Source organism: Homo sapiens, chromosome 19 (assembly GCF_000001405.40).
Source record: "Homo sapiens chromosome 19, GRCh38.p14 Primary Assembly".
Lineage (NCBI taxonomy): Eukaryota > Metazoa > Chordata > Mammalia > Primates > Hominidae > Homo > Homo sapiens.
Genome location: NC_000019.10, coordinates 54328598 through 54343870, shown reverse-complemented (window position 1 = coordinate 54343870; position 15273 = coordinate 54328598). Strand labels below are relative to the sequence as shown.

Below are 15273 nucleotides of genomic sequence, written 5' to 3'. Positions count from 1 at the left end.
CAGAGTCTCCCTCTGTCACCCAGCATGGAGTGCAGTGGCAAGATCTCGGCTCACTGCAATCTCTCCCTCCTGGATTCAAGCGATTCTCCTGCCTCAGCCTCCTGAGTAGCTGGGATTACAGGTGCACACCACCAGACCCAACTAATTTTTGTGTTTTTAGTAGAGATGGGGTTTCGCCATGTTGGCCAGGCTGGCACTGTTTTTTTTTTTTTTTATAAGGGCAACACACATTCAAGACCTCTAGGTGGCTTAAATTTTGTGCATTTATGCCTCTGTGTGTTGTTTTTAAATAATAGTTCATCTCTTTTGTATTTTTGCTTAATTCATCTGACTTTCTCCATTTCTATTACAAATTGAATGAACAATGGGAGGTTTTGTTCACTATAGTGTTTCTTATTCCTGAAAAAGTTACTTGGAATCTATGACTATTCTCTCATTAATTGTAAAACAAAACAGATAAATGGACAGAAGAATAGTGAGATTATTACTTGGGTTATTAGTAGTACTATTAAGTTGAACCAGAGAATGCAGAGAGCTGAGTGAGGTACAAAAAAAGAAAAGGGGGCCGGGCTCAGGCCTGTAATCCCAGCACTTTGGGGGGCCGAGGCAAGCGGATAATGGGGTCAGGAGATCGAGACCATCCTGGCTAACATGAAGTCCCATCTGTACTAAAAATACAGAAAATTAGTCAGGCATGGTGGCACATGCCTGTAGTCCCAGCTACTCAGGAGGCTGAGGCAGCAGAATCGCTTGAACCCGGGAGGCGGAGGTTGCAGTGAGCTGAGATCGCACCACCGCACTCCAGCCTGGGCGACAGAGCAAGACTCCCTGACCAAAAAAAAAATAAGGCCAGGCACAGTGGCTCACACCTGTAATCCCAGCACTTTGGGAGGCAGAGGTGGGTAGATCACAAGGTCAGGAGATCAAGACCATCCTGGCTAACACGGTGAAACCCCGTCTCTACTAAAAATACAAAAAATTAGCCAGGCATGGTGGCGGGCGCCTGTAGTCCCAGCTACTCAGGAGGCTGAGGCAGGAGAATGGCGTGACCCCGGGATGCGGAGCTTGCAGTGAGCTGAGATTGCACCACTGCACTCCAGCCTGGGCAACAGAGCGAGACTCCATCTCAGAAAAAAAAAGAAAGAAAGAAAGAAAAGAAAAGGCAGTCACAGCCTTTGGCTGCTTCATATTCCTGGCCCTGGGACACCAGGAGCCCCACATGCAGATCTATGGATTCCATACTGACAGCTGACGCATTACTAGAGGTCAAAGCGTGAGGCTTAGGTTTAACTAATTTTGGGACTAATCTGAGACCAGGGAATAGCAGAGTTAAGCATTCCAGAGGTTGGAGATTTTTGTCCTCTGTCCCTGAGTTGTTGTAAAACCAAACCCGCAATATCTCTGCAGCTGAGAAGTTGTCTGTGACTTCAACAAGGCCCAGGAACCTGAACATATTTGAGGAAGGGACCATAGGGTTCTAAGCCCAAGCTGGGAGTTGGGGTCAGCAAGGATCTCATACAATTCTCCCATGAGAAGGGAGGAGAGTTGTGAAGGAGCCAGGGCATAGTGGGTTACAGGCCCTGGAGGGGGATACAATGGTGGGTTACACACCCTGAGGGGGATAAAATGGTGGGTTACACACCCTGGTGGGGGGATACAGTGGTGGGTTACATGCCCTGGAGGTGGGGAGGATACAATGGTGGGTTACGTGCCCTGGTCGGGGGATACAATGGTGGGTTATACGCCCTGGTCGGGGGATACAATGGTGGTCTGGCTACTCATGCCCCACCTCATTCTTATTCATAGGTGTCTGATATGGTTCGGTTCTGTGTCTCCACCCAAATCCCACCTTGGATTATAATAATCCCCACATGTCAAGGGCAGGACCAGGTGGAGATTATTGAATCATGGGGGCGGTTTCCCCTGTACTGTTCTCGTGATAATGAGTGAGTTCTCATGAGATCTAATGGTTTTATAAGGGGCTTCCCCCTTCGCTCCACTCTCATTCTCTCTCCTGCCGCCCAATAAGAGGTGCCTTCCACCATGATTGTAAGTTTCATGAGGCCTCCCCAGACATATGGAACTGTGAGTCAATTAAACGTCTTTTCTTATAAATTACCCAGTCTTGGGTAGTTCTTCATAGCAGAGTGAGAACAGACGCATACAGAGTCCCTGATCCTCTCAACCAACCTCCACCAAGTATAGACCCATAGTGAGGAATAACTGGGACTCCCCTTTCCAGAGTGTAGATGTGTAAACACCCATCCAGGGCTTCCGAGGTGAGTGTGGCCAGTCTAGCCCTCAGCAAATGCTCCATTCTGTCTACTGACCACGCCCCTCCAGCCTCTGCCATGGAGAATCTCATCCCAATGACCATGCTGTGTTGATCCCGGTGGCCTCTGGGGGATGCTCGTTCAGGCTCAGCACAGCCAGAGAAGGCCCCAGACGGCTTCCCTCATGAAAACTCAAGTTGAGTGTGGATTTACTGCTTACAGTTTGCAGAACCTTGGAGAATCTGCAGAAAAAAACTGAGATAGGGCGGGAAGAATCTGGAGGAGCGGAGGCATGTTCCGGGTGAACAAGGTGCTGCTGCATTCAAGAGGACTATTATTTTTTTCAGGTACAGGGTGTGCAAGAACGAGTTAATCTCACAGCTGCAAGGGTGATAACGTTGGGAGAGTTTGCTTGTAAAGTTGGTCCTTAGCTGGCATCTAGTTCCTAAACATGGCTCCTGGAATGTTCCCTATGTTCCTAAGAGATAAGCTGGTGTTGTGTGACTGCAGCACTGAATTCTACTGTGTCTTGACTAGGCCATTTCCGCAAACAATGTAGCTCACTGTTGATGAGTTTGTAAAAAAAAAAAAATGCTGATGAACAGCAGCTTTTCCCTGGTTTCCCTGTGACTGACCATTATGCCTATATGGCCCCCACCTAATAACAACCTTGAACATTGAGTCTTAAGCAGGTTTGCCTGGAACCAACACTTCACATGCATTGCTACATTTTTTATGCTGATGGAATGATTAAGACAAGACATAGATTTTCACAGCTTATGACCAGCATTCTTGATCTTAAATATATTTTGGTAAAGTTTTTTTTTTCAAAAAGGTAAAAAAAAATTGCTCTTCTAGAAGGATAAAATGGACACAAGTTTTTATTTAGCTTACTATTAACGAGGGAACGGGAAAGATGTTAATACTGAATTCAAAGAAGAATCCATAGAGCAGACATTTAGGGGCTGGTAATGTTTAAGGGGATTCAAAAATGAGCCTAATTTTTGTTATTTTTAGTATAGAGACGGGGTTTCACCATGTTGGCCAGGCTGGTCTTGAACTCCTGACCTCAAGTGATCTGCCCGCCTGGGCCTCCCAAAGTGCTGGGATTACAGGTGCGAGCCACCGTGCCCGGCCATAGAATTGATTTTTAAGTGTGTTAATTCTACCTACTATTTTCACCACAGCCACATCTGCCTACATAATTTCTAGTTGTCTATCTCTTCTCAAATACACTGCATGCTGTCCATCTACCCCCATGCACATGATCTTACAAAGAACATTTCTCCCAGAGACGACTCAGAAATCAGGCCTGTCCAGAGCGGGTGGTTACAGCTGCTCCTGTCCAGGAGCATCAACTCTTCCAAACTTAGCATCTGCCCAAAGTTGTGGCTGGCAAGGCGGAGTCCAATGTGACCTCCCACTCACGTGTGGGACAGATGTCCAGGTGTGACAATACCACAGACAGCCTGTTTTTCACACACACACAGGGGAGATGGAGCCTCCTCCATGGGGAGGCTCTGAGAGGGAAGGAGGAACCATCAGTCCCTCTCACCTGGAAGGGGCTGAATCAAGAAGGCACCGGGTCTGTTTGCTGCTACATCCTGGCCCTTGGTGAGATGAGGACAGATTAGATAGACGCAGCCAAAGTGAGGGGAGAGCCCATTTCTGTCTGTAATATCTCTAGAGAGCCTGGTGTTCACGCCCAGGACAAGCCCTGGGGAAATGAGAGCCAAGCTCCTGGGGAGGGGCAGTTCCTCTTTCTGCCCCTCATGGCTCCCACAAGGAAGCAGAGAGATGGCAGTGCCCATGTGCAAACACAGAAGAGGGGCAGCCACAGCGTCTCACTTTCACCTGGAGCCCTAGGTTCCTCCCTGTCTGTGAGGACCCTGGACTTCCTTTTCTGTGCCACACAGAGATGGAAACGTCCTTTTTTTTTTTTTTTTTTGAGATAGAGTTTTGTTCTTGTTGCCCAGGCTGGAAGGCAATGGCGTGATCTCGGCTCACTGCAGCCTCTGCCTCCGGAGTTCAAGTGATTCTCCCGCCTTAGCCTCCCGAGTAGCTGGGATAACAGGCATGTGCCACCACGACCGGCTCATTTTTGTATTTTTAGTAGACACGGGGTTTTGCCATGTTGGCCAGGCTGGTCTCGAACTCCTGACCTCAAGTGATCCACCCACCTTGGCCTCCCAAAGTGCTGGGATGACAGCTGTGAGCCACAGCGCCCGGCCGAAAATGTCCTTCTTAACGACCCCCTTGTGAATCCCCATTTGTGTCTGAAATATCGGCAGAGAGCCTGGTGCTCACCCCCAGGACAAGCCCTGGGAAATGAGAGCCAGGGTCCTGGGGAGGGGCAGTTCCTCTTTCTGTCGGTGTGCTGATGGGACAACCTCGTGATGGGGAGGACCCAGCCTCCGTGTGCCCGCACACCATGTGTCTGTCTGTGTCTACGGGCACCGTGGCCACACCTGCCTGCACAGCCAGGGCCAGGAGGAGGAGATGCCATGACCCTCATTCTCACAAGCCTGCTCTTCTTTGGTGAGATCTTAAGAGGGGGAGGAGAGACCCTAGTCTAGGAGAGAGACCCCAATCCATAGCCATGCCTTAGTCAATTAGGGCATCCCAGGGGCTCAAGGAAAAGAAGAAGACCTGCTCAGGCTTCGGAGGCAAATCTCTCACAGGGAACTCTCTTCCAGGGCTGAGCCTGGGCCCCAGGACCCGGGTGCAGGCAGGTGAGTCTGTCCCCAGCTGTCCTAGGTCCCTCCTCCTCTCTGGGGACAAGGGACCACCCCTGGGCAGCTGGGGGTGAAGACAGCAGTTCTGGGCTGACTGATGGGGATGAGGGGGGTCCTGGGGCTGAGAGCTGGGATCTGAGGGTTGAGGACATCTTGGGACCTAACCTGTAATTTCCTTCCAGAAAACCTACTCAAACCCATCCTGTGGGCCGAGCCAGGTCCCGTGATCACCTGGCATAACCCCGTGACCATCTGGTGTCAGGGCACCCTGGAGGCCCAGGGGTACCGTCTGGATAAAGAGGGAAACTCAATGTCGAGGCACATATTAAAAACACTGGAGTCTGAAAACAAGGTCAAACTCTCCATCCCATCCATGATGTGGGAACATGCAGGGCGATATCACTGTTACTATCAGAGCCCTGCAGGCTGGTCAGAGCCCAGCGACCCCCTGGAGCTGGTGGTGACAGGTGAGAGGACACTCAGGGGTCCCAGCCCCAGGCTCTGCCCTCGGGAAGGGGGTCGGCTCTCAGCTCTCGAGGGGTCTCCCTTCTCACAGCCCAGCCTTGTAGGATAAGGTGGGAGGTGTGAGCCCCATTTAAACACGGCTGCCTTTTTTTCTCTTGAAAGCCTACAGCAGACCCACCCTGTCCGCACTGCCAAGCCCTGTGGTGACCTCAGGAGTGAACGTGACCCTCCGGTGTGCCTCACGGCTGGGACTGGGCAGGTTCACTCTGATTGAGGAAGGAGACCACAGGCTCTCCTGGACCCTGAACTCACACCAACACAACCATGGAAAGTTCCAGGCCCTGTTCCCCATGGGCCCCCTGACCTTCAGCAACAGGGGTACATTCAGATGCTACGGCTATGAAAACAACACCCCATACGTGTGGTCGGAACCCAGTGACCCCCTGCAGCTACTGGTGTCAGGTGAGGAAGCCGTAGCTTTTCCTTATACAAAGTCAGGGCACCAGGTGAGCTGTTGGGAGCCTTACCCTCGGGCTAGCCCACGCAAGAAGAAAAGATGAGGGGAAGATGGGGGCCCTGGGGACACAAATACAGAATGAGAAAAAAACAAGGACGCTGGAAACCCTAGTGAGGAAGGCTACAGAAGGAAGGGGCGCAGGAGGAACCAGCCGCTCCGAGTCCCAACTCATCTTTCCCTCCAGGCGTGTCTAGGAAGCCCTCCCTCCTGACCCTGCAGGGCCCTGTCGTGACCCCCGGAGAGAATCTGACCCTCCAGTGTGGCTCTGATGTCGGCTACATCAGATACACTCTGTACAAGGAGGGGGCCGATGGCCTCCCCCAGCGCCCTGGCCGGCAGCCCCAGGCTGGGCTCTCCCAGGCCAACTTCACCCTGAGCCCTGTGAGCCGCTCCTACGGGGGCCAGTACAGATGCTACGGCGCACACAACGTCTCCTCCGAGTGGTCGGCCCCCAGTGACCCCCTGGATATCCTGATCGCAGGTGAGGAGCCCAGCGGGTTCAGTCAGGGGGACCCAGGCTCTGCACAGGCCCTGCTGGGGGAGCCCAGGTGGTGATGGCCGGGATGAGGGGTGGGGGTCCTAAGGGAGGGAGAGACAGACAGAGACAGGGGATGGGCGGGGAGGGGGAGACTCAGAGAAAACAGGGACAGACTGAGGGTCCCAGGGAGAGGACTGGTGGGGAGGTCTCAGCTCAGAACAAGGTGGGGCAGCCCCTCACCCGTCCTTCTTTTCTCCAGGACAGATCTCTGACAGACCCTCCCTCTCAGTGCAGCCGGGCCCCACGGTGACCTCAGGAGAGAAGGTGACCCTGCTGTGTCAGTCATGGGACCCGATGTTCACTTTCCTTCTGACCAAGGAGGGGGCAGCCCATCCCCCGTTGCGTCTGAGATCAATGTACGGAGCTCATAAGTACCAGGCTGAATTCCCCATGAGTCCTGTGACCTCAGCCCACGCGGGGACCTACAGGTGCTACGGCTCACGCAGCTCCAACCCCTACCTGCTGTCTCACCCCAGTGAGCCCCTGGAGCTCGTGGTCTCAGGTGAGGGCGCTGACCCTGTCCACTCTGAGCTCAAAGGGGTTCTTGGAAATGAAAAAGGAGAGCTTCCAAGAGAGTGTCCGTCTGTCTGTCTCACTTGCTGCCCCACTTCTTCCTCCATCAGCCCCGGCCTTTGTGAGCCCTGAGCCTCTCTCAGCTCAGGCCCTGCCCCCAGGAGAGTTCAGGACACTAAGAAAACAGGACAGTGAAGGGGGAGGGTCCACAGGGGAGGGCCCAGCCCATGGAAGGGTGGAAATACATGGGAACCTCCCACCGAGGGGAAGGTCCAGCCTATGGGAGTGTGGAAATAGATGAGGACTTCCCACCCTGGGCTCCCACCCCTGAAGTCTCAGTAGGGTAAAGAGTGGAGAGGGCTGCAAGCAGGTGGGGGTGAGCCTTGGAGGAGATGAGATTAGACTGAGGGTGGAAGACGGAGGCCCCACCTGCTCCCTTCCTGATGTCTCCATCTCAGAATCAACATCTGGGTGTCCCCAGCCTCTAAGTCCTGACCCCGTGGGAGATGAAAGCGCAGTTACTCTGACCCAGTATAATATTCTAGACTCATCTCAACCTTATCTCCAATATTCAGGAAAGGGGTCTGTTCCTCAGAGGAACAGAGGGGAGAGTGGACAATAAGGGCGTGGTCCACGTGGCTTCCTGGGGCTCTGAGGATGGAGCAGGTGTTCCCTCTGTGGTGGTCAGAGGGGAGGGAGGTGTCCTAGAACCAGGCAGGAAGAAGGGAGCAGCAATGATAGGTGGAGGAGTCAGGTCTGTCCTCCCCTACCTGAGCGGGATTTGGGGTCCGGGGGTCCAGGCCTGACATGGACAAGGGGAAGATGCTGGGGCTGATGTTTATATCAGCCATAAAAAATTGGAAATTTCACGTTTATATTTCCAAATTGTAAGCCCATCTTTCTCATCTCAAATATGAATATATACGTAGTTACATATATACTTTAAAAACAAATATCTAAAGCCACGTATACATATGTATCTATAATCATTGTATTCATCTGTTCTCACACTGCTGTAAAGAACTACCTGAGGCCGGGCACGATGGCTCACGCCTGTAATCCCAGCACTTTGGGAGGCCGAGGTGGGCCGATCACCTGAGGTCAGGAATGAAAGACCAGCCTGGCCAACATGGCGAAACCCTATCTCTACTAAAAATACAAAAATTAGCTGGGCATGGTGGCGGGTACCTGAATCCCAACTGCCTTGGAGGCTGAGGCAGGAGAATCGCTGGAACCCAGAGGCAGAGGCTGCAGTGAGCTGAGATCGCACCACTGCACTCCAGCCTGGGGGACAGAGCAAGACTCCGTCTCAAAAACAAACAAACAAACAAACAAAAACCTACCTGAGACTGGGTAATTTATAAAGGAAAGAGGTTTAATTAACTCACGGTTCCACAGGCCATACAGGAAGCCTGGCTGGGGAGGCCTCGGGAAACTTACAATCATGGCAGAAGGCGGAGGGAAAGCAGGAACTTCTTCTATGGCTGGAATAGGAGGAAGACAGAGAAGGGGGAGGTGCTACCCACTTTTAAATAACAAGATCTCGTGACAACTCACTATCATGAGAGCAGCCAGGGGGAAGCCAATCACCTCCCACTGGGCCTCTCCTCCAACATTGGGGATTACAATTCAACATGAGATTTGAGAGAGACACAAATGCAAAGCATGTTAATCACATATATTTTATAAACCATGTTAATCACATATATTTTATATGAATATATGTGCTATGTACATATATAGACACAAACATATATTCAAGTATTCAATCCTGTGCTTAATATTTTTCATCAGATTTTTAAATATTTATTTGTTTTTATTTTTTATTATTATTTTATTTTATTTTATTTTTTTTGAGACGGAGTCTCACTCTGTCGCCCAGGCTGGAGTGCAGTGGTGCGATCTCGGCTCACTGCAAGCTCCGCCTCTGGGGTTCACGCCATTCTCCTGCCTCATCCTCTCAAGTAGCTGGGACTACAGGAGCCCACCACCATGCCAGGCTAATTTTTTTTTTTTTTTGTATTTTTAGTAGAGATGGGGTTTCACCGTGTTAGCCAGGATGGTCTCAGTCTCCTGACCTTGTGATCCGCCCGCCTCAGCCTCCCAAAGTGCTGGGATTACAGGCGTGAACCACCGCGCCTGGCCTTTATTTTTTATTTTACTTTAAGTTCGGGTATGTTTTTAAATATTTGCTTTTCACCTTCCAATCTAGGTTCATACTTCAAAAAAGCAGAAATGATGTTTTTCTGTCCCACTTAGTCATTATCATTTAGAAAAGAATACATTTTCATATTTAAGCATATCACATTGTAGGTTTCCTAACTATATGAAGAATTAGTTAACAAGACATTAAATGGATGATGAAACCACAGGGGAGCTGTCTGAGGCGCACACAGTGGGGGCCGTTGCAGCCTCCAGCCCTTGCTTGTGCTCCTGACTTCCAAGAGTGACTGAGGACCAACTCCTCATCCACAGAGACTGGGTCCTCATCCACTGAAAAATGGAAATTTCTGTCTCTGGGGGAATTAGTTGTTGTGTTCTTGTTGCACAAGATTGCACATCCAAGACAGCACACAAGAGCTCAATTCTTTCTAGTTGGGGGATCATTCTTCTTACTAATCCTGAGCTCCTGGGCTCAAGTAAACTTTGTTTCAAAGTGACTCAGGCACAAGATCTGAATTCCCAGAGCACAGAGAGGTTGAAAAACCCAATGACGTACCAGGGGAGGCCTGTGAGAGCAGAGAATGTGTTCACTAAGGATCTACATAAAGTCACACCATGAGAGGTGGAGGAATATAAGAATGCATTGCCCAGGGGAGAGGCTCTTCAGCTTCTCACCAACATCCTTATTCTTTGATTCTTAGGAGCAACTGAGACCCTCAATCCAGCACAAAAGAAGTCAGATTCCAAGACTGGTGAGTGAGGAGATTCTCCCAGTTATGGGGCTGGGCACAGAGGGTCAGGTCCTGTCAAGGGGAGGTGGGTACCCTGGGTGGACATCCAGGGGTCTTTGGTAATTGTGATCTGCCCTGACCTCTGTGACCTCTTTGTCCACCATCCCTAGCCCCACACCTCCAGGATTACACAGTGGAGAATCTCATCCGCATGGGTGTGGCTGGCTTGGTCCTGCTGTTCCTCGGGATTCTGTTATTTGAGGCTCAGCACAGCCAGAGAAGCCCCCCAAGGTGCAGCCAGGAGGCAAACAGCAGAAAGGACAATGCACCCTTCAGAGTGGTGGAGCCTTGGGAACAGATCTGATGATCTGAGGAGGTTCTGGAAGACTGGGGCAGCAGTTGGGGAAGTGTCTGCTGAGAATATCAAGGGGAAGAAGCATGGGTCAGGTGCAGGAAGATGTCTGGGTGTCTGTAGAAGATGCTTCCTCCATTAAACTGTGGTGCTTTCCTCCTCATTGTCGACTCTCCTTGACTGCCCCTTCCTTCGTTTTTCTTCCCTATGATGTAAGGCTTCACCCCTATGGTGGGTTTGGGTCCGCCCCTCTGTGACCTCATGCTCTGCTCCACTTTCAGGTAATACACCTTTCTTTATTTCTAACTACTGCATTTTCTAATGTGTATTACTGGGACTATCTCTTCAGCTCATAACATGGAATTTGCTTTTGATAATTAAATCCATGGGCAAAAATCAGATTCGTGTTTGGAAAATTTAAGTTCAAAGTGATGCTGTACCACCTGTCACTCTTCATCTGTAGTTTCTCCAGAGATACAGTCACTAGGAATCAAAAGAGAAGTGTTTGATGGAAAAGCCTGCTGTTGTGCGCATAGACTGGCTTCCTGAACAACAACAAAAAAGTTTTCTAAAAAGCATTTATTTGTGGAATTTGTTGATGACTGTGGTATAAACACTCCCTTCATGGGCACCTTCAAGATTCTCACATGACTGCACCTCCCCCTACCTGCTATCACACCGCAGTCGGAGCTGGTGGTCTTGGGTGAAAGGCCCTGACCCTGTCCTCTCTAAGTTCAAAGACTCAGCTCAGGCCCTGCCCCCAGGAGAGCTCTGGGCAGAGATGGAGTGAAGGGGGCTCTGAGGGAGACTCAGCCACAGAGGAATTCACCCCTCAGAGGAGAAGAAGCCAACAGGAGTTCTCCCTCTTCTCCTTCACCTGGAGTCCAGAAGGTGCTAGGTGGGAAGAGGGAGGGTCTTGGAGAGGCCACTGGGCAGATGGAGAGGAGAGCTTTGAGTGGAGGTGGGGACTCCAGGATAGCTCCAATTCCTCACTCCCTTTCTGTGCTCCTTCCCAGGACCCTCCAGGGGCCCCAGCCCTCCACCCATAGGCTCCTTCTCCATACCTGGTGAGTCATTGAGGCCTCTGGGCTCAGAGGGAGGGTGGCCTCCCCCAGGGCAGTCCTGAGTCTCCCAGATGATCCCATTCCCCTCAAGGACTCAAGCACGAGCTTCCCTCCAGGGAGCTGAGGCAGAGCCAGAGGAGGGGCCACAGGCTCCCCGGGGCTCTGAGGCTGGGCTGGTGAGGGGCGGGGGTCGAGGCAGAGGGAGATGTTGGGGCCCAGCCTGGGGGAGGAGCAGCCGGGCTGACGTGGGGAGCAGGGCAGCCCCAGCCCTCACCTCCCCATCCTGACCCAGCAGGCCCTAAGGACCAGCCCCTCACCCCCACAACGTCAGGCCCCCACAGTGCTAAGTGAGGGGCTTTGAGTGGGAGGTGGGCGGGGTCCAGGGGAGGCAGGGGTGGGTTCTGTCATCGGTTTGAGGCTCCTCTGGAGGTGGTGATGTGGACAGGCCCCTCCTCTGCCTGGGCCTCAGTTTCTCCAAGTGTAAAGGAGAGAGGCCTGCGGGTGGGAAAGTTCCTTTCAGCTCTGACTCCCAGCTGTGACCTCCTGGGAGAGGAGGCCTCCCAGGGAAACTCCCAGACCCGATTCCACAGGGGCCTGTCCTGTCCCACCTGCAGCAGAGACGGTGACCTGGGGCAGGGGAGGGGAGCAGAGGCTCATGTGTCCAGAGAGTCTGGGGTCCTCCTGAGCTCCCCCACCCAGGGAAAACCAGAGCCAGGCCCAGGGAAAAGCAGTTTCCCTTCCTGTGGGTCCACAGCTGTGGGTACCTGGACGGGCAGCAGCAGGCTCTGAGTGACCACATCCGTGTGTCTGTCTGTCCTGGAGGGCCCTGTGGTCTCCTCTCCCACAGCTGGAGCCCCCAGAGCAGGCATCACGGTGTTCGTGCTTCTCTGCCTCAGTCAGTGATGGAGGGAGAAGGGGCTACCAGGTTCTCCACGAGCCTCCCTCTTACTCCAGCCCCTGGGCTCTCAGGTTGGGGGGCACAGTTGTTCTGGGCTGAGGGTGATAAAACAGAGAGGGGTTTTGGACTAAACTAGAGAACCAGGAGTGAAAGAGATCTTGGGACCCAGCCTCTGGTTCCATTTCAGGGCCCTTCCCCAAACCCTCCCCATGGGCTGAGACAGGCTCTGTGATCACCTGGGAGAGGCCTGTGACCCTCTGGTGTCAGGGGAACCTGGAGGCCCAGGAGTACCGATTGGATAAAGAGGGAAGCCCAGGGCCGGTCGCGGTGGCTCATGCCTGTAATCCCAGCACTTTGAGAGGCCAAGGCAGGCAGATCATGAGGTCAAGAGATCGAGACCATCCTGGCCAACATGGTGAAACCCCGTCTCTACTAAAAATACAAAAATTAGCTGGGCGTGGTGGTGTGCACCTGTAGTCCCAGCTACTTGGGAGGCTGAGGTGGGAGAATCACTTGAACCCGGGAGGCGGAGCTTGCAGTGAGCTGAGACTGTGCCACTACACTCCAGCCTGGTGACAGAGCAAGACTCCAACTAAAAAAAAAAGAGGGGGCTGGGCGTGGTGGCTCATGCCTGTAATCCCAGCACTTTGGGAGGCTGAGACGGGCAGATCATGAGGTCAGGAGATCGAGACCATCCTGGCTAACATGGTGAAACCCTGTCTCTACTAAAAATACAAAAAATTAGGTGGGTGTGGTGGTGGGCGCCTGTAGTCCCAGCTACTCGGGAGGCTGTGGCAGGAGAATGGCGTGAACCCAGGAGGCGGAGCTTGCAGTGAGCCCAGATCACGCCGCTGCACTGCAGCCTGGGTGACAGAGCAAGACTCCGTCTCAAAAAAAAAAAGAAAAAAAAAAAAAAAAGAGGGAAGCTCAGTGTCCTGGGACAGACAGAGCCCACTGCAGCCTGGAGACAAGGCCGAGTTCCCCCATCATATCCATGACAAATGAATATGTAGGATGATATTACTGTCACTATTTCAGCCCCAGAGCTCACTGACTCCCTGGAGCTGGTGGTGATAGGTGGGAGGACACCTTGGGGTCCCAGCCCCAGGCTCTGCCCTCAGGAAAGGGGTCTGCTCTCAGGGGTGTCTCTCCCTCACAGCCCAGCCCTAAGGGATAAGGTGGGAGGCTTGAGCCTCAAGGATCACACTACCTCCTTCTCTCCTAGGATTCTACAGAAAATCTACCTTCTCAGCCCCCCTGAGCCTGTTGCAACTTTAGGAGAGGACTCTCCAGCGTGGCTCATGGCTGCAACTGGACAGATTCATTCTGACCGAGGAAGGAGAACTCAGTCTCTCCTGCACCCTAGACTCTCAGCAACACCCTAGTGGACAGTCCCAAGCTCTGTTTCCTGTGGGCCCCAAGACCCTCAGCCACAGATGGATGTTCAGATGTCATGGCAATAACAGGAACACCCTTCAGGTGTGGTCGGAACTCAGCGACTCCCTGAAGCTCCTGTTCTCAGGTGAGGAAGTCAGAACACCCTTCAGGTGTGGTCGGACCTCAGCAACTCCCTGAAGCTCCTGTTCTCAGGTGAGGAAGTCCCATCTTTACCCCAAACATTCTTTGAAGCATCAGACAGGTTGCTGTGGATCTTGCTCCCAGGCAAGTCCCAAGCGTGAGGGTGGAATGAGGGGAACGAGGGCTTCTGGGGCCAGAGACACAGAGTATAAGTGATGGTGAGATCTGCAGAGCCAGGAGGACAAGGGATGTATTTGAGGGGAGTCAGCCCCCAAAGTCCTGACTTGTCTTTCCCTCTAGGTGTGTCTAGGACTCCCTGCACGGGACCAAACAGGGGCCCCTCCTAATCTCTGGAGAGAGTCTGACCTTCCAGTGTTGCTCTGATGTTGGCCACCAAGGACTTTTCCTGTCTGAGGAGAGGCGACATGACCACCCTGGCACCATGGCTGGCAGCCCCAGGCTGGGCTCCGTCAGGCTGACGTTTCCTTGGAGTGGCTCCCATGGGAGCCAGGACAGATGCTGTGCTAAACGCAACGTCTTTTCTTTTCTTTTCTTGTTTTGTTTTGTTTTTGTTTTTTTGAGATGGAGTTTCGCTCTTGTTGCCCAGGCTGGAGTGCGTGGTACGATCTCAGCTCACTGCAACCTTCACCTCCTGGGTTCAAGTAATTCTCCTGCCTCAGCCTCTCAAGTACCTGGGATTACAGGCATACACTACCATGCCTGGCTAAATTTTTTTTTTTTTTTTTGTATTTTTAGTAGAGACTGGGTTTTGCCATGTTGGCCAGCCTGGTGTTGAACTCTTGACCTCAGGTGATCCACCCACCTCGGCCTCCCAAAGTGCTGGGATTACAGGCGTGAGTCACCGCACCGAGCCCACAATGTCTTTTCTGATTGTTTGGTCCCCTGAATCCCCTGGATATGCTATTGCAGGTGAGGGGTCCAGCAGGTTCACTCAGGGACCCAGATTCTGCACAGGGCCTGCTGGGGATCTGCAGGCGGTGATGACCAGCATGATGAGTGTATTAGTCTGTTTTCTTGCTGCTGATAAAGACATCCCCAAGACTGGGTGATTTATAAAGAAAAAGAGGTTTAATGGACTCACAGTTCCATGTGGCTGGGGAGACCTCATAAGCATGGTGGAAGGTGAAAGGCACATGGTGGCAGACAAGAAAGAAATGAGAGCCAAGTGAAAGGGGTTTCCCCTTATAAAACCATCAGATCTCGTGAGACTTACTACCAGGAGAACAGTATGGGGGAAACCACCCACCGCCTCCACGATTCAATTATCTCCCACCAGGTTCCTCCCACAACACGTGGGAATTATGGGAGCTACAATTCAAGATGAGATTTGGGTGGGGACACAATCAAACCATGTCAATGGATAAGGTTCTTTAGAGAGGGAAAGAGACAGAGGGGCAAGGTGGATGGGAGGGAGAGGAAGAGACTCAGAGGAAACAGTGAATGACAGAGAGACTGAGGGTCCTAGAGAGAAGCCCTGGGAAGGTC

General features: G+C 52.2%; 1 protein-coding gene across 1 annotated transcript, besides 1 other annotated feature; it reads left to right on the top strand.

Annotated features, from left to right (window-relative positions):
- Nucleotides 1-4708: 4708 nt before the first annotated feature.
- LILRA4 (leukocyte immunoglobulin like receptor A4) lies at nucleotides 4709-10686 on the top strand. The gene is made up of 8 exons (NM_012276.5): nucleotides 4709-4811; nucleotides 4970-5005; nucleotides 5191-5475; nucleotides 5636-5935; nucleotides 6175-6471; nucleotides 6728-7030; nucleotides 9906-9956; nucleotides 10106-10686. Exons 1-8 carry the CDS (start codon nucleotides 4778-4780, stop codon nucleotides 10297-10299), a joined length of 1500 nt encoding a protein of 499 aa, NP_036408.4. The 5' UTR covers nucleotides 4709-4777; the 3' UTR covers nucleotides 10300-10686.
- Nucleotides 7527-7727: a silencer, noted in NCBI's record as "peak3554 fragment used in MPRA reporter construct". NCBI's record gives its function as "represses an SCP1 promoter by STARR-seq MPRAs in K562 erythroleukemia cells {active_cell/tissue: K562}" and the evidence as "EXISTENCE:reporter gene assay evidence [ECO:0000049][PMID:32103011]".
- Nucleotides 10687-15273: the final 4587 nt, after the last annotated feature.

Excerpts from the sequence above, each read along its gene's own strand:
- LILRA4 (NM_012276.5), top strand. The coding sequence starts at position 4,778 with ATGACCCTCATTCTCACAAGCCTGCTCTTCTTTG. Across the intron at positions 5,006-5,190 it reads CAGGACCCGGGTGCAGGCAG|AAAACCTACTCAAACCCATC; the intron begins GTGAGTCTGTCC and ends ATTTCCTTCCAG. Across the intron at positions 9,957-10,105 it reads GAAGTCAGATTCCAAGACTG|CCCCACACCTCCAGGATTAC; the intron begins GTGAGTGAGGAG and ends CACCATCCCTAG.